The sequence below is a fragment of the Homo sapiens genome, chromosome 17, assembly GCF_000001405.40.
Source record: "Homo sapiens chromosome 17, GRCh38.p14 Primary Assembly".
Classification (NCBI taxonomy): domain Eukaryota; kingdom Metazoa; phylum Chordata; class Mammalia; order Primates; family Hominidae; genus Homo; species Homo sapiens.
Genome location: NC_000017.11, coordinates 60,639,375 through 60,666,683, shown reverse-complemented (window position 1 = coordinate 60,666,683; position 27,309 = coordinate 60,639,375). Strand labels below are relative to the sequence as shown.

The window sequence follows — 27,309 nt, the reverse complement described above, 5'->3', positions numbered from 1 at the left end:
GTTCCTACATTCCACTTTTAGTCATAGAACATTGATTCTAAGTAGTCTATAAGTGTATGTACATTGTAATCCCTAATGCAACCACTAATACTGCCTAAATATTTTGTCTCTAAGATTAAAATTTGCCTAGCACTTTGGGAGGCCGAGGCAGGAGGATCACTTGAGGCCAGGAATTTAAGACCAGCCTGAGCAACACAGTGAGACCTTGTCTCTAAGGAAATTTTTAAAATCCACCAGGTGTGGTGATATGCACCTGTAGTCCCAGCTACTCAGGAAGCTGAGATGGGAGGATCACTTGAACCCAGGAGTTAAAGGTTACAGTGACCTATGATTTTGCCACTGCACTCCACATCAGCCTGGGGACAGTGAGACCCTGTTAAAAAAAAAAAAAATTATTCTCAACTTTGTTAGTGAGATAGTTTATTTAGGGACAAAATACATTAAGATGTTTTACTCCACTAGAGCAATCTTCCAGATGTCTGGAAGATGAAAATAACATTGTTCATTAATGCTATTACCAAAACATAACTATTGCACACCCTACTAAAACAATGTTATACACGCTGTATTTCAGAATATCAATGCTTTTAACTTCCAGGTTGTGACAGCCTCCTTCCAGATGACACTTAAAAATGCCCACCTCCTAGAATTCATGCCTTGTGTAGGAGTCTCCCACGTTGTAGTTGACTTGGTCTGTGTGACCAACAAAATACAGAATTGGTATGACACTTTCAGAGGCTAGGTTACAAAAAACATCATGGCTTCTTCCTTGCCCTCCGGTGTTGCTTGCTCTGGGGACAAATAACTGCCATGTTGTGAGAGGCCCTCTGGAGGGGAACATGTGGCAACAAACTGAGGTCTCCTGCCAACAGCTGTGAGTCTTGCGGGAAGCAGATCTTCTAGCCCCAATGACACCTTCGAAAGATTGTAGCCCTGGTTGGTAGCTTGACCAAAACCACGAGACTATCACCCAGCTAAACCACTCTCAGATTTCTGAGGCTCAGAAACTGGAGATAATATTTGTTGTTTTAAACTGCTAAATTTCGAGATATTGTTTTGTAGCAATGAATACATATTTTAATCCTTGTGGCATAAGACACACCGATCAAGAATTATCTTCTGCAAAATATTGAAAATAACCAGAATGTGTGGACATGGTTAAATAATGGCATAGTTGGCTGGGCACGGTGGCTCACACCTGTAATCCCAGCACTTTGGGAGGCCTAGGCTGGTGGATCATGAGGTCAAGAGATCAAGACCATCTTGGCCAACATGATGAAAACCCATCTCTACTAAAAATACAAAACTTAGCCAGGCATGGTGGCACGCACCTGTAGTTCCAGCTACTCAGGAGGCTGAGACATGAAAATCACTTGAACTGAAATGTAAGAAATACATTGAAAGCATAAAACTCAGGCCGGATGCGGTGGCTCACGCCTGTAATCCCAGTACTTTGGGAGGTCGAGGCGGGTGGATCACGAGGTCAGGAGATCAAGACCAGCATGACTGACATGTGAAACCCCATCTCTACTAAAAATACAAAAATTGGCTGGGCACAGTGGCGCGTGCCTGTAATCTCAGCTACTCAGGAGGCTGAGGCAGGAGAATCGCAGGAACCCAGAAGGCAGAGGTTGCAGGGAGCCGAGATCACACCACTGCACTCCAGCCTGGATGACAGAGCTAGACTCCATCTCAAAAAAAAAAAAAAAAATTAGCCGGGTGTGGTGGCACACACCTGTAATCCCAGCTTCTGGGGAGAGAGATTGAGGCAGGAGAATCACTTGAACCCGGGAGGCAGAGGTTGCAGTCAGCCGAGATCACGCCACTGCACTCTAGCCTGGATGACAGAGTGAGACTCCATCTCAAACAAACAAACAAAATAATAAATAAATAAAATACACTCACTGTAAAGCATGATCATGGCACAACAGAATGTTAATCCAGGTTAAGCATCCCTAATCTGAAAATCCAAAATCCAAAATGCTCCAGAATCAGAAACTTTTTCAGAGCAGGCATGATGCTCAAAGGAAATGCTCATTAGAGCATTTTGAATTTCAGATTGGGAACACTCAAAAGCTCAGTATAAAGCAAATATTCCAAAATTTTAAAAAATCTGAAACACTTCTGGTCCCAAGCATTTTGGATAAGGGATACTCAACTTGTACATACCATTAAAATAAACCAACAACTACAAATTCAGCAACATGAGGAACAGTTCACTGATTTATTAGATGAATATATACCCATATAATCAATGAAAACTGTATGATATAAAATAATTTAAGAAATGTTGGGAATTAGCAGCACCATCTGTTATTGAAATAGCAAGGAAAACTTCACATATTTTAAGCAAACACGAGAAGGGAGTAACTACTTTAAGACCTAATAATGCCATTGGTCTGGGATGAAAAAGAAGGGAATTGTTTTAGATTGTTTTAGGCAAACACACTTCCTTCTATGCTGAAGATTTAGTAAGCATATCTGATGACTAAGGTTTTAGAAAAATGCTACTGATGTAAGAGATACTGCATAGTATTTTAATTGGGACAAGACTAACTGTAGCATGGCTCAACACTTCTATGAAAAATTTAGTTCTGAATTATGAAATCAGAAATAAAAAATAATGTTTAAAAGACACTTGGCTCTAAGAAACATTAAGTGAAACACAGGTCACTATGAAAATACATCACTTTTCCAGTCTGCTTAATAATTTACTTTAAAAAGTTGCACAGTTTTCAAGACAAGTGGCTTATACAAATTTTTTAATAAGTATTTTAAAAAGTTTAAATGTTTTTCTAAAATCTAATAGATTCTTTTGATTTCTTTAAACATTTAGCCCTATTGTCACAATTACTGTGTATCAGAGACTCTGAATACTGTGTATTCAGAGACTGAATTTGTGTGGATACAAATTTACACAAATTTTACAGCAACTTATACCCTAACATCTACAAAATCCACATTTACAATACAAGCAAGTACAAGGCCAGGATAAAACTGCTGAATTCCAAAAAGTCAAACTGTATATTTCTTTTAATTTTCTCCCCTTAAAAAAAGTTCAACATCGGCACCAAATTTAAAAAGCCCTCTTATATCCTAAGTTTGGAAAAACCTCATTTCCCAGATGCATTTCAGCAAACACAAACAGTTTTCCTGTGTTGATGAAGTAAAGGATTTCCAATTTTCTTCTGGCCCCTAAGTCTGCGTCGCATGGTGAGTTTAACAGAGTTCTTTCGCTGTGAGGTTGTGGGGAGACTTGCAGGCTGAGCACCACTACTTCGACTTAAGCCATTTCGTCTATGCTTCTTCATCAGGGGGCCAGAATTGGACTCTTCTAATGTCCTTTTAAAGTTTGTTGGAGGGGTTCTTTCAATTTCTTGGGCTTTCATTTGGCCAGGAGTTGACATCTTCAAATTTTTTTGGTCCATGACAGTGTTTGTTGAATTAGTAGGCACAAGGCCAATTGGAAGGCTATTATTCAAAGAATCATGTATCCTTAAAGTCAGGGCTTTAGCGCAATTTTCTTCAAGTGGTTCTGGATCTTTTGAGGGTATGACTACACCTTGGACATTCTCTCGAGCTATCTCAGCTGAAACCTCTAAAAAATTCTCTGAGAAGGCATTGCTACGAACCAGGGCAGGTATATGGTCCTTAGAATTCACCCTTGGCCATGGATCCTCCTCCAGTGACTGAAAAATAAGAAGGTAAAACAAATAAGAAAAAATTTATCCCAGAACTCAACAAATCTATGCATGTGATATTAGGCTTCTTATGAAGCTAGTAGGATGGCAAAAACGGGGTATGCATTCACTAATTCGTTCACCTTCTATTTACTGAACTATGTGTTAAGGTTTAATGGGAGGAACCTGAGTGAGAAGACAATATAAAGGTAAGAATGACATTGAATTCTGTCTTCAGGGTAATAGATGAAATTATAAAGTAATCTATTCAAGTGGGTGAAAATTCACGTGGTCACAAGCATTTTCTATCCATTGGCAGGTAAACAAAAATAAGATACATTAAGGAACAAGATTTCAAAACAAACCCTCAAAATTAACCATAGGCACACATTCACTCTTCCACTATTCTGTACTCAAACATGGAGAAGATCAAAAGTATCGCATTCTCTGTGTGCATTTTAATTTACTTTTGGTAATAACATAATGCTGATGAAATCGCTCTATTTTTCATAAAAGTCATATTTTTCCATAAGAACCATCAAAAAATTGCTTTAAGATGCCATTAAGTGCTTACTACAGCAGCACATATACTAAAATTGGAATGATACAAAGAAGATTAGCATGGCCCCTGTGCAAAGATGACACAAATTCATGAAGCGTTCCCTATTTCAAAAAAGAAAAAAAAGCTTTTAAAGATCTCAATTTTTGGCCGGGCACACTGGCTAACCCCTGTAATCCCAGCACTTTGGGAGGTCGAGGCGGGCAGATCATTTGAGGTCAGGAGTTCAAAACCAGCCTGGCCAACATGGTGAAACTGCGTCTCTACTAAAAATACAAAAATTAGCCAGGCATGGTGGTGTGCACCTGTAATCCCAGCTACTCTGGAGGCTGAGACAGGAGAACTGCTTGAGCCCAGGAGGTGGAGGCTGCAGAGAGCAGAGATCGCACCACTGCACTCCAGCCTGGGTGACGGAGTGAGACTCCGTCTCACAATAAATAAATAAATATTAAAATTAAAAATAAAAATCTGAATTTTCTAGTAATGAAAACCAGTGTAACCACTGGAGGGGATGGTAGCATCTCAGTAGGATAAGCAACAAATTTGTAGTTTTTTGGTTTATCCTATCTCCTAAATTCTAATTTCTGAGTATGTAGTGTGGAAAGCATTACAACATTAAAGCACATCATTAAAGCAAAGTACAACATTAAAGCAACTATGTCATAATGGTCATAATGGAAACTCAGAAGAATGCTGCTTTGCACCCATCCTGCAAACACTAGATACTGCTCTGTGATTTGAGAAAAGTAGTACACATGGGACCATTCTGAGAATGGTTAGGGAAATTCCCAATTGATGAAAACAAATGAGAATTATCCAAGGCACTTTATTGTTTTTAAAAATGCTGTTTTCACAACGCTTCATGTCAATCTAGATATGCACCACTACTTTGAGTGTAGTGCTCTAAATCTACATATACTCAGAATAGCCGCTCACCTCCAGATAAGAACATTCTTACTATCAAACCCAGCTCTTCCAAAGTAATAACATTTCATAAAATCATTGTCTTAATACTTTATCAAGGTCCAGAGTTAAAGCATAAATACTCTCTCCCCCAAACATGTAAAATTTTCCTCAAGTGGACTCTCAATCAAATGTATCAAAATATTAATAGATTCTGAAAAGCCCAAGCAGAGCAGCAAATGAAGACGTATTTATCTGATCTTTCTCCGAAATAAAATCTCCTATAAATAAACACCTTTCCTTTTTTTTTTTTTTTTTTTTTGAGATGGAGTTTCGCTCTTGTTGCCCAGGCTGGAGTGCAATGGCACAATCTTGGTTCACCACAACCTCTGCCTCCCAGGTTCAAGGGATTCTCCTGCCTCAGCCTCCTGAGTAGCTAGGACTACAGGCATGCGCCACCATGCCCAGCTAATTTTTTTTTTGTATTTTTAGTAGAGACAGGGTTTCTCCATGTTGGTCAGGCTGGTCTCGATCTCCTGACCTCAGGTGATCTGTCCGCCTCGGCCTCTCAAAGTGCTGTGATAACAGGCGTGAGCCACTGCGCCCAGCCTGAATATACAACTTTCTTAGAAGTGCTATATAAAAGTATACTTATCATAGGAATGTTTCCTTTAATTTGTCTAGAGTTAAAAACAAAGGGAAATAAGGGAGGCAGGGAGGTTCAAAAAATAAAATGAAAGGGAAATTGAAGGCATCCAGAAGCTTCCTTTTTTCTTTTTTTGAGGCCGAGTCTTGCTCTGTCACCCAGGCTGGAGTGCAGTGGCGCGATCTCTGTTCACTGCAACCTCTGCCTCCCGGGTTCAAGCGATTCTCCCACCTCACCCTCCCGAGTAGCTGGGGTTAGAGGTGCTCACCACCATGCCCAGCTAATTTTTGTATTTTCAGTAGAGATGGGGTTTCACCATGTTGGCCAGGCTGGTCTCAAATTCCTGACCTTAAGTGACCCACCACACCCGGCCCAGAAACTCGTTTCTAAAATGATCTCGATCTAATCATAGATATGAATATGCTTTACTGAAAAACACATATATATATAGACTTTAGGACCAATGGACACTGAAGAAAAGGACAAAGAATTTCTAGTTACTAATCTGGTACTGCCCCAAATACATCACTTCTCTGTTTTTTTGTTTTTGTTTCTTTTTGAGACAGAGTTTCATTCTTGTTGCCCAGGCTGGAGTGCAATGGCACAGTCTTGGCTCAATGCAACCTCCGCCTCCTGGGTTCAAGCGATTCTCCTGCCTCAGCCTCCCAAGTAGCTGGGATCACAGGCACCCACCACCACACCCAGCTAACTTTTGTATTCTTAGTAAAGACAGGATTTCACCATGTTGGCCAGGCTGGTCTCAAACTCCTGACCTCGGGTGATCAGCCTGCCTCGGCCTCCCAAAGTGCTGGGATTACAGGCACATGTCACCACACCCAGCTAATTTTTGTATTTTTAGTAGAAACAGGGTTTCACCATATTGGCCTCGAACTCCTGACCTTGTGATCCACCCGCCTCGGCCTCCCAAAGTGCTGGGATTACAGGCGTGAGCCACCACACCCAGCCTAAATGCACAGAATATTATTCTGACACCACAGGTGTGCTGGCTTCCCTTCCCCTACTTTCTTCTTGAACATTTCTGAAGGGAATTCTCTTTTTATTGGCATTCTGTGGGAATACATTGTATCTGTTAGCACAGGCAACTGTTTAGACTTCTTAGATGTACCCCAGGTTAATTTGTATTGCTAAGGCCTGCATGTTCGTAAAACAGTTATGTGATATTGAGGTTACCCCTAAAAATACATACTTTAAAAAAGTTCACTGCTTCAGAGATCAACTTTCTCCTCCCATCTACCCTGTAATCCAATATTAAACAATTAATTACAAACTGTGCCTAAAATGCAACTAAAACTAAGTTTTAATTTTCTGAAACTCTTTGCTCTCTTCCCCATTCCGTTCTTAAAGATCTTAGCTTGTAAAACATAGCTAAATTTAGTTTTGCCCTAAACAAAGGACAGAGAAAGAAATGTGTGTCATAGTAATCTATCTTACTTAAACAAAGGCTTTTCCACTATCTCCATCCCAAAACAAAGACTAATTTATGTGAGAATTCAAATGGAAGCTGACATGTTTACAGACAAATCTAGTCTCAAATGCCTTGTCTAAATGTGATTAAGTCTCTGACTGTTCAACATTAACCACATTATAATTAAATTTATCTCTATGTTACTAAACATGAGACAACTTTAATAATGATGTAAATTAAATATAGTCAGGAGTACTCACCTTTATGTCAATTAAGGTAAATAAAACAAACCAAAAACAATTTCTTGGGCAGAAATCTGTCTTTTGTTAGTTGTTAGATCAGAGCCAACAATACTAATTATTCTGAATTAACCTAAATATTTTCCCATATTTGGGCAGGGCCAATGGGTTAACAAATAACTATACCTGCATATGGCAAACATACGTCTTCTTATCTTTACTTTAGTAGTATTATTAGGTCATTATCAGAATTATTATTATTATTATTATTTGAGATGGAGTCTTGCCCTGTCAGCAGGCTGGAGTGCTGCAACGCGATCTCAGCTCACTGCAACCTCTACCTCCCGGGTTCAAGCGATTCCCGCCTCTGCCTCCCAAGTAGCTGGGATTACAGGCACGAGCCACCACATCCAGCTAATTTTTTGTATTTTAGTAGAGATGGGGTTTCACCATGTTGGCTAAGATAGTCTCGATCTCCTGACCTCATGATCCATGTGCCTCTGCCTCCCAAAGTGCTGGGATTACAGGCGTGAGCCACCACGCCCAGCCCAGAATTTAAGGAATTTTTTTTTTTTTTTTTTTGAGATGGGGTTTTGCTGTTGTTGCCCAGGCTGGAGCACAATGGCACGATCTTGGCTCACCGCAACCTCCGCCTCCTGGGTTCAAGCGATTCTCCTGCCTCAGCCTCCCAAGTACCTGGGATTACAGGCATGCATCACCACACCTGGCTAATTTTGTATTTTTAGTAGAGATGGGGTATCTCCATGTTGGTCAGTCTGGTCTCAAACTCCTGACCTCAGGTTATCTGCCCAACTCAGCCTCCCAAAGTGCTGGGATTACAGGCATGAGCCACTGTGCCCAGCTTAAGTAATTTTTTAAACGTATTTTATGTATGGGTTTACTAATGCCAGTCAGCAGACTGCAATAATTTTTATTTGAGGTCAATATTAAGAATGCCCTTTTGTTCCTCACACTATTCCCCACCCTAATGTCTCCTCCTTCTCTATACTGCCTAAAGGTCAGTTATAAGGGAACATGAAAGTAATAATTACATACAAATATTCAGAAATACGCAAATATACAAACATAAGCTCTTTCACAGCTTTGAAAAGAGAATAAAGAGGCTTTAAAGGGTTTCAACCTGCATTACCATTCATGGTTTTCAAAGAAAAGAAACCTTTTGTGAATGAAAATACTTCATTTCAGCCAGGCCTATAATACCAGCACTTTGGGAGGCCGATGCGGGTGGATCACCTGAGGTCAGGAGTTCAAGACCAGCTTGGACAACATGGTGAAACCCCATCTCTACTAAAAATACAAAAAATTAGCAGGGCGTAGTGGCGGGCACCTGTAATCCCAGCTACTTGGGAGGCTGAGGCAGGAGAATCACCTGAACCTGGGAGGTAGAGGTTGCAGTGAGCCAAGATAATGCCATTGCACTCTAGCCTGGGCAACAAGAGTGAAACTCTGTCTCAAAAACAAAAAAAAGAAAAAGAAATGAAAACATTCCATTGTATCTGGCCATATGTGGTTTTTGCCATATGTATGTAAAGTGAAAGAAAGCAAAGCAGTAATAATCCATTTCCAAGTATTGACTATAGGATTACGACGCCCAAAATTAAAGGCCTTTGACACTTTAAAAAACTTCCTGAATAGGTGACATTAGATTTCCCTACATTTCCCATTTTAATGGTCAGTCTACTGAAAACACATTCTCAGAAAGCCAGGTTAGCCATGCTATGTATTAAAGCAATTATCAATCAATACTGCTAATTTTTGGTGGGAAAAATTAGGATGAAAACACAACCAAGTATTTGAGTTCTTAGTAAATCAAAAAAGTATGATATCTACTTAAAATTTGCTTATTTCAAAGCATATCTTAAACTCAATCAATATTAACATGGATAAGAAATAGGAATAAAGTTTCTTATACGAGTTAACAGACAACCAGTTGTAACGTCTGCTATCCTCAGGTCCAGCTCAATTTTGATTCTCTATGACCTTGTTTAGACAGTTTAATCTCTCAGGCTTATTACTGATAAAATGAAATAATAACATTAGCTCTACTTCTGGGCTACGAGATTCAAATAAAATATATTTAAGTGCTTCACAAACTTCTAAATGCTTTAAAAATAATGTTCATAGCATTAGATGGCAAACAATAATATTCTTAAGGGCCCACAATCACCTTTTTATTAGTGCTGTACACATGGCTGGCATTCAGATTAGTATTGATGTAAAGATGGCTCTCTGATAATAAGTTACATCACTTTCTTGAATCGAGTTCAAATCCAAAATCCTGTAAGAATTTAAAAATTGTTTCCAGGTGACGCTAACCAAAGAACTGGTGTCTATTAAAACATAACTTAAAAACTATGGAACTATATACCTTGACTGGTGGTGTAGAACATGGGGAAGGAGTCATCACACAGGTTTCTTGACTATTATAGGAAGGGCTGTCAGTCAGGTTCAGGTATAACTCATCTTCATTGGTAAAGTTTCCCTGATTGTCCACTTCTGGAGAGATGCAGATTACTATGGCACTAGTGTTATCTGCTCGGAGCATACGCTGCCTCCAGCGGCCCAATGCTCGATTCACAAGCATTTTGGCACAAGATTGTCCATGCTCACCCTGTATTCAAAAGAACAAGGAGAAGGAAAGTAACTCAGATTTAGCTGCCACTACATCTGTATCTATATCAAATTAAATATTTGGTGTTCGCTGTGGCCCAAACAAAGCTCCCAATTTTTTTTTTTCTTTTCTCTTTTTTTTTTTTTGAGACAGAGTCTTCCTCTGTCACCCAGGCTGAAGTGCAGAGATGCAATCTCGGGTCACTGCAAGCTCTGCCTCCCGGGTTCATGCCATTCTTCTGCCTCAGCCTCCCGAGTAGCTAGGACTACAGGCGCCCGCCACCATGGCCGGCTAATTTTTTGTATTTTTAGTAGAGACGGGATTTCACCATGTTAGCCAGGATGGTCTTGATCTCCTGACCTCGATCCACACGCCTCTGCCTCCCAAAGTGCTGGGATTACAGGTGTGAGCCACTGCGCCCAGCCAAAGCTCCCAAATTTTCAAACATTATCCCCAGTCTCCTTAGCCATGTTAAAATAATACTTTTCTAAATTCAAAAAATACTAATAAAACAAGGTTTTATCCTGTCATTAAATTTCACTATTTTTATTTTTATCAAGAAACTCAGCCTTCACTGTAACTTTATTTAGAAAAAGTTGTCCAGACGCAATGGCTCATGCCTGTAATCCCAGCACTTTGGGAGGAGGAGGCGGGTGGATCATGAGGTCAGGAGATCGAGACCATCCTCGCTAACATGGTGAAACCCTATCTCTACTAAAAAAACAAAAAATTAGCCGGGCGCGACGGCACATGCCTGTAGTCCCAGCTACTCAGGAGGCTGAGGCAGGAGAATCGCTTGAACCCAGGAGGCGGAGGTTGCAGTGAGCCAAGATCAGGCCACCACATTCCAGCCTAGGCAACAGAGCAAGACTCCATTTAAAAAAAAAAAAGAAAGAAAGAAAAAGAAAAAAAGAAAAGAAAAAGTTATAAAGAAGTTACTTAAAAAGAAAGTAGCCAGGTGTGGTGGCTCACGCCTTTAATCCCAGTACTTTGGGAGGTGGAGGCAGGTGGACTGCAAGGTCAGGAATTCAAGGCCAGCCTGACCAACATGGCGAAACCCCATCTCTGCTAAAAATACAAAAATTAGTCAGGCATGGTGGTGTGTGCCTGTAATCCCAGCTACTTGGGAGGCTGAGACAGGAGAATTGCTTGAACCTGGGAGGCGGAGGTTACAGTGAGCCGAGATCACGCCACTGCACTCCCGCCTGGGCGACAGAGCGAGACTCCGTCTCAAAACAACAACAACAACAAGAAGTAAACATCAAGTTATTTAAGAAAACATAATTCACAAACAAGACAATCAGGCATGGTACAAAAAAAAATCATTGCAAAGGGTCAAATTCCTTCTAACATAAGAGATTCTGCAAATCGAAGAAAATGACTCAACATAAAAATTGTCAAAGAATATAAACAAAATCCAGAGAAAAGGAAATATAAACAGCTCATATATATATATAAACAGTCAATGTCACTCATATGAGGAAAAAGTAATACAATAACTGCTTATAGTATAAAGAACAAATATATACCAATTGAACGAGTAAAGAAAACAAAACCAAAAGGATCTCATTTTATGCAAATAAATGTGGCTTGGAATAAAACTTCCAGTGTCATATATGAATTTAAAATCTGCTAGGTTTCACAGAACAAAAGTGAAAATGATGTACTCCAGGAAATAAGCCTACATGTATTTTTTTCTTTCTTTTCTTTTCTTTCTTTTTTTTTTTTTTGAGATGGAGTTTTGCTCTTGTCGCCCAGGCTGGAGTGCAATGGCAAGACCTCGGCTCACTGCAACTTCCGCCTCCCAGGTTCAAGTGATTCTCCTGCCTCAGCCTCCCAAGTAGCTGGGATTACAGGCACCTGCCACCATGCCCAGCTAAATTTTTTTTTTGTATTTTTAGTAGAGACGGGGTTTCACCACGTTGGCCAGGCTGGTCTTGAACTCCTAATCTTAGGTGATCTGCCTGCCTCGGCCTCCCAAAGTTCTGGAATTACAGGTGTGAACCGCCGTGCCCGGCTGCCTGCATGTATTAAAAGTACCCATAGAAATAAATGACTAATGAAAATGAGTGGAAAATTTTGTTTGTTGTTTTTTGAGACAGGGTCTCACTCTGTCACCCAGGCTGGAATGCAGTGGTGTGACCTCGGCTTACTGCAGTCTCCACCTCCTGGGCTCAAGTGATCCTCCCACCTCAGCTGCTTGGGAGGCTGAGGTGGGAGAATCAGTTCAGCCCAGGAGGTGGAGGCTGCAGTGAGCCGGGATCGCACCACTGTGCTCCCAGCCTGGGTGACAGAGTGAGACTCTCTCTCTCAAAAAAAAAAAGCATATTATTTCAATAGACACTGAAAAAGCATTTCGTAAAATTGAACATCACTTTATGATAAAAACCCAACAAAAATAAGTATAGTAGAAATATACCTCAAAATGACAAACTCACAGCCAACATCAATACTGAATGGGGAAAAAAATTGAAGGTCTTTCCTCTAAGGACTGAAACAGACAAGGATGCCCCACTCTCACTTACTGTTATTCAATACAATACTGGAAGTCCCGGCCAGAGCAATTAGGCAAGAGAAAGAAATAAAGGGTAACCAAACTGGAAACGAATAAGTCAAATGAGCCTTGTTTGCAGGTAACATGATCTCATACCTACAAAAACCTAAAGACGCCACCAAAAAACTGTTAGAGCTGATAAATTCAGTGAAACTGCAGGATACAAGATGAACATACAAAAATCAGCAGCATTTACATATACCAACAGCAAACAATCTGAAAAAGAAATCAAGAAAGCAATCCTATTTCCAATAGGTACACAAATTATAAAATGCCTAGTAATCAATTTAACCAAAGATGTGAAAGATCTATAAAGGAAAACTAGAAAATACTGATGAAAGAAATTGAAGAGGACACAAAAAGATACAAAGGTAGTCCATGCTTATGGATTGGATGGATTAATATTGTTAACATGACAATACTACCCAAAGCAATTTAAAGATTCAATCCCTATCAAAATTGAAATGACATTCTTCACATAATTTTTTCTTTAAGCTCAGAATTCATATGAAACCACAAAATATCCTGAATAGCCAAAGCAATTCTAAGCCAAAAGAACAAAGCTGGAGGCATCACACTACCTGACTTCAAAACTATACTAGAGGGCTACAGTAACCAAAATAGCATGGTACTGCTACAAAAACAGACACATAGACCAATGGAACAGAACAGAAAACCTATGTATAAATCCACGCAATTTGCAGCCAGCTCATCTTCAACAAAGGTGCCAAGAGCAACAATAAATGGTAGGGGGAAAACTGGATAACTATATGCTGAAGAATGAAACTATACCCCTATCTCTCATCACACACAAAAATCAAATCAAAATGGATTAATGACTTAAATCTAAGATCTCAATTAGTAGAATTGGTAACCACAATTCTATTCCCTCTGTGAGATCTACTTTGATCTCACAAACTATGAAACTACTAGAAGAAAACAACATTGGAGAAACGCTCCAGGACACTGTTCTGGGCAAATAATTTTTGCATGAGACCTCAAAAGCACTGGCAACCAAAGCAAAAATAGACAAATGAAAATACAAGCTAAAATGCAAAGGAAACAATCAACAAAGTGAAGAGAGAACCCACAGAATGGGATAAAACATCTGCAAACTATCCATCTGACAAGGAATTAACAACATGTAAGGAGCTCAAATCAGTAGCAACAAAACAAAACAAGCCCCAAATAATCCAATTTTAAAATGGGCAAAAGATCTAAAATACACATTTCTCAAAAGACATACAAATGATTAACAGATATATGAAAAAATGCTCAACATCACTAATCATCAGAGAAATGCAAATCAAAACCACAATGAGGTATCATCTCACTCCAGTTAAAACCACTTGCATCAAAAAGATAGGCAACTACAGATGCTGGTGAGGATGTGCAGAAAGGGGAACCCTCAGTGTTAGTGGGAATGTAAATTAGAGCAGCCACTACGAAGAACAGTATGAAGGTTCCTCAAAAAAAAAAAAAAAAAAAAAAAAACAGAAGTAAACTACCATATGATCCAACAATTCCACTACTATACATATATCCAACAGAAAGAAAATCAATACACTGAAGGTATATCTGCACTCCCATGTTTATTGCAGCACTATTCACAACAGTCCAAATATGGAATCATCCTACGTCAATTCCATTTAATACATGAATGGATAAAGAAAATGTGGTGTATATACACATACACAATGAAATAGTATTCGGCCATAGAAAAGAATGAAATCTTGTCATTTGCAGCAACAGGGATGGAACTGGAGGACATTATGCTAAATGAAATAATCCAAGCACAGAAAGACATGATCTCACTCATATGTGGCAGCTAAAAGAGTAGATCTCACAAAGAGAGAGAGTAGAATTGTGGTTACAAGAAGCCAGGAAGGGTAGTAGGGAGAGAGAGATGAAGGGTGGAAAAAAAGAATATAAATGGATTTTTTACTATTGAATTGTACAATTTCAAATAGTACAAATAGTAAATGTCATATGTATAGTATACTTCGAATTTTTTAAAGTGTGTTTTAAAAATCTCTATTTTTAAGTGTAGTTATGTCCACTCAAACTTTTTTGTGCTTTTCTCTTGAACTAGAAACAATCAATCATGCCTTATGTGTCTTCTTAAAAGACTGCCCTTCTGGGTTTTGTGAATCTCCCTAAATAATTAATTTCTGCTCTATTATTTTCAACCTCCTACTTTGAGGGGTTTTACTATGATATTCTTTTTTGTAACTCTGACTGGATCACTTAGATTGTTTTCTTCATGTAGAATACCATGAGCCTTGTGTTATGGATGCATCATTTTATGTGCCACAAACGAAATAAAAAACACTGTCGGCTGGGCGTGGTGGCTTGGCATGGTGGTTCACACCTGTAATCCCAGCACTTTGGGAGGCCGAGGTGGGTGGATCATGAGGTCAGGAGATGGAGATCATCCTGGCCAATGTGGTGAAACCCCGTCTCTACTAAAATAAAAAAAATTAGCCAGGCATGGTGGCGCGCGCCTGTAGTCCCAGCTACTCGGGAGGCTGAGGCAGGGGAATCGCTTGAACCTGGGAGGCAGAGGTTGCAGTGAGCTGAGATCGCGCCACTGCACTCCAGCCTGGCAACACAGCGAGATTACATCTCAAAAAAAAAAAAAAACCAAAAACACTGTTAATTGAACTGTGATATACCATTTGTAAAAAGTATTCCAATTTCAGAGATATTAAAAGAAAATATGCACCTCAGAATTGATTAAAGGCAGCATTAATCTCTAATTCATGAATCTATCACATTCCCTACGGCATGTGGTTCCACTCTCCAAACACCAGCTGACTGAGCCCTTACCTCTCACTTTTTCAGTGTGCCTGTTTCCCTTCCCATCAATGCTCTATGAAAACAATTATATAAACCATTTTCCACTATCTTACCTGTATATTTTTCCCTCAGCTCACTAGAATTCTGCTGACTTGAGTCCCCCTAATATTGTGTGCTCTTAAACCACAGAGTCTCTCTAAGTGCATATATTGCCACAATTTACGCAACTCTTGTTAACTGTTAAATTAGTATTTCCACGCTTCCCTCCCAAGTTTTTATTTTTAAAGAGATGAGGGTCTCACTATGTTGTCCAGGCTGGAGTGCAGTGGCTATTAACAAGTACAATCATAGAGCCCTACAGCCTTGAACTCCTGGGGTTAAGCAATCCTCCCACAGCCTCCTGAGTAGCTGGGACTATAGGAGCATGCCACCCCTCTCTCTCAAATATTTATAACTGCCTACTGAAGATATCTATCTAGATGAACCACAGGTACCTCAACTCAACATGCCTATGTCTGAACTAATTACCTCCCCCATCTCTCCCTAAATAATGTCTCTTCTTTATAACAGCTTACTAGTCACCAGAGTTAGAAATTTAGGTGTCATCATATTCTTCCTCCTTATAAACATAAGAGCTGTCAATTCTACTACTTATGTATTTGTGTTTTTTGTTGTTGTTGTTGTTGTTGTTGTTTTGAGATGGAGTCTCGCTCTGTCACCAGGCTGGAGTGCAGTGGCACGATCTCAGCTCACTGCAACCTCTGCCTCCTGGGTTCAAGCAATTCTCCTGCATCAGCCTCCTGAGTAACTGGGATTACAGGTGCGAGTCACCACGTCTGGCTGATTTTTGTATTTTTAGTAGAGATGGGGTTTCACCATGTTGGCCAGGCCGGTCTCGAACTCCTGACCTCAAGTGATCCACCTGCCTTGGCCTCCCAAAGTGCTGGGATTACAGGCTTGAGCCACTGCGCCCGGCCTACATGTATTTCTTTGTGTTTTTTCCAAAAACCACTGCTGCCTTAGATTAAGCCTGCAAATTTTCTTGCTCAAATATCACTCTCTTCCATGAAGCTTCCTATGCAGTCTTGTGAAGTTTTCTATCGTCTCACTCTTCCAGGTCTCATAAGACTTGTTCTAATTATACATTATACGGATGCTTCCTTCAATACTCATCTTAAAACACTTTATGGTTCATAAATAGGTTCTTCCAATGCACTACAAACTGGTTTTTGTCTTTATGCCATTGAAATGATCTCTCTCAGATCATTAAAGAATTCTAAATCCATTAGACAGAAGAGTCTTTATGTTACTCTTTGATACATGATAATCTCCAACTAAATGCAACACACCAGGCCCTGAACATGTAAAACTGAATCAAGATGACTCTCACCTTAAAAGAACTCATGATCTAATGGGATTGTTAGTTTTTTATATATTCTATTTATAATAATATGGTAAGTGCTGAGGAAGGACCATATTCTATTTACCTTTGCAATCCCTGTACCTAGTACCTAGTATGTTAATTGAGTGAATGAATGGAGGCAATTTTTTTTTTTGAGACAGAGTTTCGTTCTTATTGCCCAGGCTGGAGTGCAATGGCATGATCTTGGCTCACTGCGACCTCTGCCTCCTGGGTTCAAGAGATTCTCCTGCCTCAGCCTCCTAAGTAGCTGGGACTATAGGCGAGTGCCACCACACCCAGCTAATTTTGTATTTTTAGTAGAGGTGGGGTTTCATCATGTTGGCCAGGCTGGTCTCTTAACTCCTGACCTTGGGTGATCCACCCGCCTCAGCCTCCCAAAGTGCTGGAATTACAGGCGTGAGCTACTGCGCCCGGAATGAATGGAGGCAATTTAACAAAAATTCAATCAATTTGCCCCTCCTTCCACCTCAAAATACAGCTTTACTATTCCTGCCATCTGAGAGAAAGATCATCTTTTCTAAGGATAACCCATCTTTGGATTTTTGATTCCAGATACTTCCATGTGCTCTGTTAGGGGATGATGATGAAAATGTTTTGAGATTAGGAGCTGGGCATGGCACCACAGTAGTCCCAGCTGCTCAGGAGGCTGAGGTGAGAGGACTGCTTAAGCCTAGGAGTTCTAAACCAGCCTGGGCAACATAGTGACACCTCATCTCTTGGGGGGAAAAAAAAACAAAAAAAGTAGTAGAAGTAGTGGTGATGGAGGCCGGGTGCGGTGGCTCATGCCTTAAATCCCAGCACTTTGTGGGGCTGAGGCATCACCTCAGGTCAGGAGTTCGAGCCCTGCCTGGCCAACATGATGAAACCCCATCTCTACTAAAAATACAAAAAATTAGCTGGGTGGGGTGGCACACACCTGTAATCCCAGCTACTCGGGAGGCTGAGGTGGGAGAATCGCTTGAATCCAGGAGGCAGAGGTTAGAGTGAGCTGAGATCATGCCACTGCACTCCAGCCTCGGTAACAGAGCGAGACACTGAGACAGTCAGAAAAAAAAAAAAAAAAAGTAGTAGTGGTGATGGTTGTACAACTTTGTGAACTACACTAAGAATCACTGAATTATACACTTTAAAAGGATAAATTTTGGCCGGGCGCAGTGGCTCACGCCTGTAATCCCAGCACTTTGGGAGGCCAAGGCAGGCGGATCACGAGGTCAGATCGAGACCATCCTGGCTAACAAGGTGAAACCCCACCTCTACTAAAAATACAAAAATTAGCCGCGTGTGATGGCAGGCGCCTGTAGTCCCAGCTACTCAGGAGGCTGAGGCAGGAGAACGGCGTGAACTCAGGAGGCGGAGCTTGCAGTGAGCCGAGATTGTGCCACTGCACTCCAGCCTGGGTGACAGAGCAAGACTCCGTCTCAAAAAAAAAAAAAAAACGATAAATTTTATGGTATGGAAATTATATGTCATTTAAAAAAATAAGGAATTAGCAACGTTTCACAGGCCAATTTATACTGAAGTCAGTGGTTGTGTGTTTTGTTATTAGACTTCGGTTATATATTTCTTGTCTCATTCCTCTAATGATTAGGAGCTACAAAGCCTATGTTTTACCCACTAGCAGATCAAGGCAAATGCAAAAATCTACCCAAGGTCAATGTCCTTAGTTCATATTCAAGATTCTGACAGAAGTACCAAAACAATGTTTAGACAACAATATCAAGTTATTCAATCACATCTCACCATCAGGTATTTTTTCTCCTCTTGGTCCTGGCACATTGAGATGGCATCTTGTGGTGGAATCATATTCCAAAGTCCATCACTCCCCAATATAATATACTTGTGCTTCTGAGGGTCAAGAGTGTGGACACTTGTGTCTGGTTCAGGTGACACCACAAATTCACCACTGAAGAAATCATAGCTCCACAAATCACCTGGGGGAAGGGAGCAGAAAAAGCAAGAAGTATTAGTTGGAAGCTAATAGTACAACAGCAACAGATTAAAAGAGAAAATCTACACAGTTCATCTCAATAGACGCAGAAAAGCATTTGATAACATTCAAACTCCTCTCATGATAAGATTTCCTAGCAAACTAAGAATAAAAGGGAACTCCCTTAACCTGATAAAGTATATCCACCAGAATTCTGTAATAATCATCTTAAAGGTAAAATGTTAAAAGTATTCCCTTTAAAATGTAGAAATAAGAAAACTATGCCTTGTATCATTGCTTCTCTTCTAATACTATACTGAGTCCTTCCCAGCACAGTAAGATAATAAAAATAAAGTATATACAAAATGGAAAGGAGAAAATAATACTAATATTATTTGCAGATAATTTCATTTATACATGGAAAACCAAAAATAAATTATTACAATAGAAAAGTTTAGCAAAGTTGTTAAATACAAACCCAATATATAAGTCAACGTATTTCTATATGATAGCAAGACATAGAAAATATAAATGTTTAAATAATCCAATTTTAACAATGAACCAAATGTAAGGAACTTAGGAACAACTTTAACAAACGGTATACATGCCTGTTATGAAGATTATAGATTCTATTTTGAAACATTAAAAAGATAATCTAAATAAATGAAGTAACCAATCAGATTCATAGATAGCAATACTTACTATAATAAAGATGTCAATTATTCCCAAAATAATCTACAAAGTCAATGTAATTCTAACCAAAATCCCAAAAGGATTGTTGTAGAATTTGACAGGCTAAGCGCAAAGGGCCAAGATTAATCAAGATAATTTTGAAGAAAAAGGACAAGATGAGAACTTATCCTACAAACAGAAGTACCAATGGCTGTTTGCAAACTTCCTGTTAATCTCTAGATCAGTAAAGTACCTACATCAAAACTTACAGAACAAGTACCAGTCACTTGCAAGAAAATTCAAAATATAAAAATGAGCATTGTAATGCTCTTTACCAACCATATGACCAAACTTTGGAGAGCAACAGTTCTCCCTTTCACTGAGCCGGAAAAAGAAAGCTCTTACATTTATCCTTCTCCTTGATTAGCTCCACATAAAAACAATGCCTAAACTTCTGCCTTTAGACCTATTAGATACAAACATCAAAATGTTCAAGAGACAATAACTTTTAGTCGACCCAGGCCATAAAAAAGATCAATAAAACTAAAACAGAAGAAAATAAAAATGATTTATAGAAACCATCTACTTTTCTGTAATATATAAGACAACATAAATGAAACAATATAAATTTTTCTTCTGTTTCCAATAAATGTGGAAGAGGAGACAGAAAGGAGAAAACATTAATTTCTGCCTCTTTTGTTTATTGTGAACTATTTAAGGGAAAGGCCTAAATTAAAAGCAAAAGATTTTCAGACAAGAGGTTAAACAATTTTTGTCCCCTTTCAGTAGGTCTGGTTTTTTTGTTAAACAAGAGGAAGCTTTGTCCTTTTCTTTATTTAAACTTCCCCACTAGCTCCCCATCAGAAATACTGGCAATTCAAACATGCTCAGAGTCCAAAGAAAGAATAATTCAAGTCAATTACTCCCACTTGAAAGTAGCAAAATCATTGCTAACCAGACTCTTCAAAAAGCAATTCAGCCCTCTGAGCAGCAAAACAGAATACATGCAAGCACTAAAAGCTAATTATAATCCAGATAAGCTCACAAAGACACACTTACCTCTTTATACCAGCAAAACAAAGCTCCCTGGTTGACGAAATAATAAAAATGAACATGGGGACAGTGGCACAATCATGGCTCACTGCAGGATAGATCTCCTGGGCTCAAGTGATCCTCCTACGTCAACCTCTCAAGTAGATGGGACTATAGGTGTATACCAACAGGCCCAGCTAATTTATTTTTTGTAGAGATGGCGGTCCCACTATGTTGTCCAGGCTGGTCTCCAAGTCCTGGATTCAAGCAATCCTCCCACCTCGGTTCCCCAAAGTGCTGGGATTACAAGTATGAGCCACGGTACTGGGTCTGCCTTTTTATAATATTATGTAATATATTCGCATAGTATGAAAACCAAAAGATATAAAAGGGTACATATACAGTGAAAATTCTCCCTTCTCACCACTGCCCTTCCAGTTTTCCCTGTAAGGACTATTATTCTTATGTTCTTATCTTTCTGGAGATACCTATCTACCTACCTACATATGTATATGTATATGTGTGTGTGTGTATATATATATATACACACACACACATATACATATACATATATATATACACACATATATATACATATATATACACACATATATATATACATATATATACACACACATATATATACATATATATACACATATATATATACATATATATACACATATATATATACACATACACACACACACACACACACACACACACACACACACATATATATTTTACATTGCTTTGGTGAAACCATCCTTTCAAGTTTCCAACTCTTTTACTGACAACTTCCAAATCACTAGTCTCCAATATCTTTTTCTTTTTTTTGAGATGGAGTTTCGCTCTTGTTGCCCAGGCTGGAGTGCAATGGCACGATCTTGGCTCACTGCAACCTCTGCCTCCTGGGTTCAAGTGATTCTCCTGCCTCAGCCTCCCGAGTAGCTGGGATTACAGGTGCCCGCCACCACATCTGGCTAATTTTTGTATTTTTAGTAGAGACGAGGTTTCATCATGTTGGCTAGGCTGGTCTGGAACTCCTGACCTCAGGTGATCTGTACACCTAGGCTTCCCAAAGTGCTAGGATTACAGGCGTTAGACACCACGCCCAGCCTCAATCTCTATTTCTTTCTCAATAAACCTCAATACATTTTCAGAAGAAGGGATTGTTTCTTCTAACTTAAATTTTTAAACTCTGGGTTTTGACTAAGATATGTGGTATATTTCTATTTCTTTGATTTCTTTCATCATTTTGTAGTTTCACGCATATAAATCTTAAACACAGTTTGTTACAATTATACCTAAGTATTTCATGGTTTTCTTGGGTGCGATTATAAATGATACTTATTTAAATTTTATTACGAATTGTTCATTTTTAGTACATAAAAATATGATAGACTGTGTATGCTAAATCTAGGTCCTGTGAACTTGCTGACTCCACTTATTAATTCCAGTAGTTCTTTTGAAGATTATCTGGGATTTTTTATGCAGATAGTGTTGGAATCTGTGGATAGAGCTGGTTTTAGTTATTTGCTGAACCATCTGAGATTAGATTACAGACTCAAAACACTTCACCTCCAAACAGTAATACTTCAACATTTATCTCCTAAGCATGAGGATGTTATTCTACCACACTCAGGCAATTTCATATTGCTATAGCACTGTATAATATAAAGTTTATGTTCAAATCTTCCCAGTTGTCACAATAATGCATTTTTAATATCCAGGATCCATTCAAGGATCATTCTTCAGTCAGGTTAGGTGGCTCATGCCTGTAATCCCAGCACTTTGGGAGGTGGAGACAGGAGGATTGCTTGAGCCTGGGAGTTCGAGACCAGCCGGGGCAACACAGTGAAACCCCATCTTTATTTTTAAAAAAACTTTTTAAAAAGTTAATTGCATTTGTCATTTTTTAGTCATTTTTAACCTAAAACAATTCCCTAGGGTTTTGTTTTGTTTTTATCATTCATGGTATTGACAACTGTGAAGAGTTCAAGATAGTTCTTTTGCCAGGCACGGTGGCTCACACCTGTAATCCCAGCACTTTGGGAGGCCGAGGCAGGTGGATCACTTGAGGTCAACAGTTGGAGACCAGCCTGGCTAACACGGTGAAACCCCGGCTCTACTAAAAATACAAAATTAGCTGGGTGGCACGCGCCTGTAATCCCAGCTACTCGGGAGGCTGAGGCAGAAGAATTGCTTGACCCCAGAAAGCGGACATAGCAGTGAGCCAGGATCATGCCACTGCACTCCAGCCTGGGCGAGAGTGAGACTCCATCTCAAAAAAAAAAAAAAAAAAAAAGAAAAGAAAAGAGTTCTATTGCACAATGACCTTTAAATTGGATCCATCTGATTGTTTCCTCTTGTTCTCGTGCTCTACAGGGGTTCATGAACGGGTAAACTCACTTTTGGCTACAGGACTACATTGCTGATGTCATGTCCTTCTCCGTATATCACATGAGGAGAGACAGTGTGTCAGTCAGTCCTATTATTGGCAGTATTGACTTTCATCATTTGGTTAAAGTGCTATCTACTGGCAGCATAAAGGTGCCTTTTTCTTTTTTTAACTGGTGAGTAGTCTGTAGGGTGAAAGTTTGAGGCTCTGTGAAATATCCTGTTCTGTACCAAAATATGCCATATTTTAGCATCTACTGATGATTCCTGAATGAATCAATTATTATAACGGTTATAAACTGATGACAGAATTAGGACATTCTAACTACATTTATTAGCTGACAGTTTATTTTACTTTATTTTGGTTCTTTTTGCTCTTCTTTCCCAACCCCAAAAAGGTTTCTTTTTTTTGAGACTGGGTCTTACTCTATTGCCCAGGATGGAGTGCATTGGTGCGATCATGGCTCACTGCAACCTGCGCCTCCCAGGCTCAAGCAGTTCTCTCACCTGCCTTCCAAGTAGCTGGGACTACAGGTGTGTGCCACCATGCTAGGCTAATTTTTTTGTATTTTTTTCTACAGATGGGGTTTCGCCATATTGGCCAGGCTGATCTCGAACTCCTGAGCTCAAGCGATCCACCCACCTCGGCCTCCCAAAGTGCTAGGATTACAGGCTGCTGGGATTAGAGACATAAGTCACTGTGCTCAGGCCTGAAAGTCTTTTTTTTTTTTTTTTTCTTTTGAGACGGAGTCTCGCTCTGTTGCCCAGGCTGGAGTGCAGTGGCGTGATCTCGCCTCCTGGGTTCACGCCATTCTCCTGCCTCAGCCTCCCGAGTAGGTGGGACTATAAGGCGCCCGCCACCATGCCTGGCTAAGTTTTTGTATTTTTAGTAGAGATGGGGGTTTCACTGTGTTAGCCAGGATGGTCTGGATCTCCTGACCTCGTGATCCGCCCACCTCGGCCTTCCAAAGTGCTGGGATTACAGGCATAAGCCACCGTGCCCGGCTGAAAATCTTTTTTAAAGAAGAGTTTCCTGGCCGGAGGCAGTGGCTCACGCCTGTAATCCCAAAACTTTGGGAGGCCCAGGCTGGTGGATCACGAGGTCAAGAGATTTAGACCATCCTGGCCAAAATGGTGAAACCCAGTCTCTACTAGAAATACAAAAATTAGCTGGGCATGGTGGCACACGCCTGTAGTCCCAGCTACTCGAGAGGCTCGGGCAGGAGAATCACTTGAACCCAGGAGCCAGAGGTTGCAGTGAGCCGAGATCGCGCCACTGCACTCCAGCCTGGTGACAGAGCAAGACACCATCTCAAAAAAAAAGATTTTCTTTGGAGTCTCTCTGAATCTGCTGTGGGCGGGGGTGGCTACCCAATTCACAAATCGTTCATTGCCCAATTAAACTCCTTTAAATGTAAAAAAAAAAAAAAAAAAAAAAATCCATTCTTCTACCTGTACAATTTTTTATCTCTATATAGACTTACAGATTCTTTTTTATTCAATATTTTTTAACTTATTCCTGTTATAATTTGTTTTGATGCTCAAGTTGCTTCAAATTTGCTAGTAAAAGTCCCTAGAATCTGACCTTTCAACAAACTCACCAGATGATTCATACTCATAGACACTTTCCCTTGTTTTACCAGTTCAAAGAGTCTATATGATTCTATCTAATATCAAATAACTGGTAAGGATCAGAATTGGGCCTTTAACTAAGGGTTTTTATTACTGGTCTAGTGTTTGTACACCAAAGTACGATCATAGAACATCATTTCTGTAGGTCCTGAAAGGAGGTGCCTTGGAAACTGGCAGACAGCCAATTCCCTTTTTTCCTCAGTAGAGGGTGCTGAAGGGACACCAGAAGAGAGGAGGCCTGCTTTCTGGTTCCAGTATATTTTCTGCTTGCTCCTGTGGCACTTGGCAGCCAGCAGTCCACAAGACACTCAGTGGTCCTTACACCTATCAAATTTCAGCACCCCTTTGAGTGGCTTCCCATGGAGAACTTCCAACAATGTTTACCCCCTCTAATCCATTCTCAAAACTCAATGAAAATTCTCTCTTTAAAACACAAACTAATGGATTAAAGATTTAAATGTAAGACCTCAAACTGTAAGAATCGTGGATGGACATCAGCCTTGGGAAAGAATCTGTGACTAAATCCTCAAAAGCAACTGTAACAAAAACAAAAATTGACAAGTAGGACCTAATTAAAGAGCTTCTGCACAGCAAAAGAAGCTATCAACAGAGTAAACAGACAACCTACAGAAAGGGAGAAAATATTCACAAACTATGTATCTGACAAAGATCTAATATCTAGAATCTGTAAAGAACTTAAACAATTCAACAAGTTAAAAACAAATAACCCCATTAGAAAGTGGGCAAAAGGCATCAACACTTTTCAAAAGAAGACATGCAAACGGCCAAGAATCATAAAAAGCTCCACATTAGTAATCATTAGAGAACGCAAATCAAAACCACAATGAAATACCATCTCATACCCTGTGAGAATGACTATTATTAAAAAGCCAATAAATGACAATGCTGGCAAAGCTGCAGAGAAAAGGGAATGCTTATACACTGTTGGTGGGAATATAAATTAATTCAGCCACTGTGGAAAGCAGTGTGGAGATATCTCAAAGAACTTAGAACTACCATTCGATCTAGCAATCCTGTTAGTGGGTATACATCCAAAGGAAAATAAATCGCTCTACAAAAAGACACATGCACTCAAATGTTCATTGCAGCACTATTCACAATAGCAAAGACAAGGAATCTACTTAGGTGCCCATCAAAAGTGAAATGCATAAAGAAAATATGGTACATACACACTACAGAATACTACACAGCCACAAAAAAAAAAATGAAATTATGTCCTTTGCAGCAACACAGATGCAGCTGGAGGCCATTATCCTAAGTAAATTAATCCAATTTACTTAGGAAAAGAAATTTCTAAATTTCTAAATAAAAGAAATTTCCAATTTCTTTTAGGAAAAGAAAGCCAAATACCACATGTTCTCACTTGCAAATGGGAGCTAAACATTGAGTACACATGAAGATACAGATGGCAACAATAGACACTGGGGACCACTAGAGGGAGAAGGGAGAGAAGGAGGAAGACATGAAAAACTAACAATTGGGTACTATGCTCCCTACCTGGATGACGGAATCAATCGTACCCCAAACCTCAGCACCATGCAATATACCCATGTAACAAACCTGTACATGTACTTCCTGAATCTAAAAGCTGAAATTACAAAAACAAACAAACAAAAGCCCACAAATCTAGGATGAATGGTGGATGACAGTTGCAAAACAGTGTAACCGTACGTAACATCAATGAACCACATGCTTTACAACGGTAAGTTACGTGTATGCTAAGCATATATTACCACAATTAAAAACACACAAATCTGGTTATGTTTCCCATTCCAACTCTGTTATAGTTCACAATTGTTTTTAAGATAAAGACACAATTCTTTTGTTTTTTCTGAAACAGGGTCTTGCTCTGTTGCCCAAGCTGGAGTACAGTGACATAATCTTGGCTCACTGCAGCCTCCTGGGCTCAAGCAATCCTCCCAACCAAAGCCTCCTGAGTAACTGAGACTACAAGCGCGTGCAACCACGCCCAGCCAATTCTTTGTAGAGGGGAGATTTCGCCATGTTGTCCAGCTGGTCTTGAACTCCTTGAACTCAAGCAATCCACCTGCCTTGGCCTCCCAAAGTGTTAGAATTATGGGTGTGAGCCACCACATCCAGCCAAACATGATTATTTACCACTGCCTATAAAATGCAGTATTTTCTCATTTTATCCAAGTCTCTTATTTCCTTATCCGTTCCAGCTACACTGCCCTTCATCAGAGTTCCTATATCACTATGCTTCTTCCTATCACCGAACTTTTCGAAAATGTTGTTTTCTATGCCTAAAACACACTTTCTTCCTCCTTAACCTCCAGTAATTCTTCAAAACTCAGTTCAAATATCACTTTTCTGGCCTCTCTGGTTAAGTGAAATATCCTTATTTTAGGTTTTCATTAGTACATATAAGAAGTTAAGAATTGGCTGGGTGTGGTGGCTCACGCCTGTAATCCCAACACTTTGGGAACCCGAGGCAGGCGGATCACCTGAGGTCAGGAGTTCGAGACCAGCCTGGCCAACATGGTGAAACCCCGTCTGTACTAAAAATACAAAAAGTAGCTGGGTGCAGTGGCGTGCGCCTGTAGTCCTAGCTACTTGGGAGATGGAGGCAGAAGAATCGCTTGAACCCGGAAGGCGGAGGCTGCAATGAGCCGAGATCGTGCCACTGCACTCCAGCCTGGGCGACAGAGTGAGACTCCATCTCAAAAAAAAAAAGAAGAAGAAGAAGAATTAAAAATGTTCAGTTTTAGCCAGGCGCTGTGGCTCTCATCTGTAATCCCAGCAC

The 27,309-nt window shown here is 39.8% G+C and overlaps 1 protein-coding gene and 1 pseudogene across 3 annotated transcripts in view, besides 1 other annotated feature; one reads left to right on the top strand and one right to left on the bottom strand.

The window, feature by feature from the left end:
- The window catches only part of PPM1D (protein phosphatase, Mg2+/Mn2+ dependent 1D), a 66,088-nt gene continuing 39,182 nt past the window's right edge, over positions 404-27,309 (bottom strand). Inside the window, exons 4-7 of one of the 3 annotated variants that reach the window (XR_934577.3) lie at positions 18,602-18,792; positions 9,843-10,085; positions 9,642-9,752; positions 404-3,689 (exon numbers count right to left, since the gene is read on the bottom strand). Coding sequence is in view for 1 of the 3 variants with exons in the window: in NM_003620.4 (NP_003611.1) it covers positions 3,132-3,689; positions 9,843-10,085; positions 18,602-18,792 (992 nt within the window). In the remaining 2 variants the exon portion in view is untranslated. Of the gene's footprint in view, positions 3,690-6,755; positions 7,045-9,641; positions 9,753-9,842; positions 10,086-18,601; positions 18,793-27,309 lie in introns of those variants that run through there. The other 2 variants (XR_007065507.1, NM_003620.4) reach the window with 2 other exon arrangements.
- Positions 4,247-4,351, top strand: RNU6-623P (RNA, U6 small nuclear 623, pseudogene; annotated as a pseudogene).
- Positions 14,083-14,132: a silencer, noted in NCBI's record as "silent region_8795". NCBI's record gives its function as "represses an Ori minimal core promoter by ATAC-STARR-seq in GM12878 lymphoblastoid cells {active_cell/tissue: GM12878}" and the evidence as "EXISTENCE:reporter gene assay evidence [ECO:0000049][PMID:35858748]".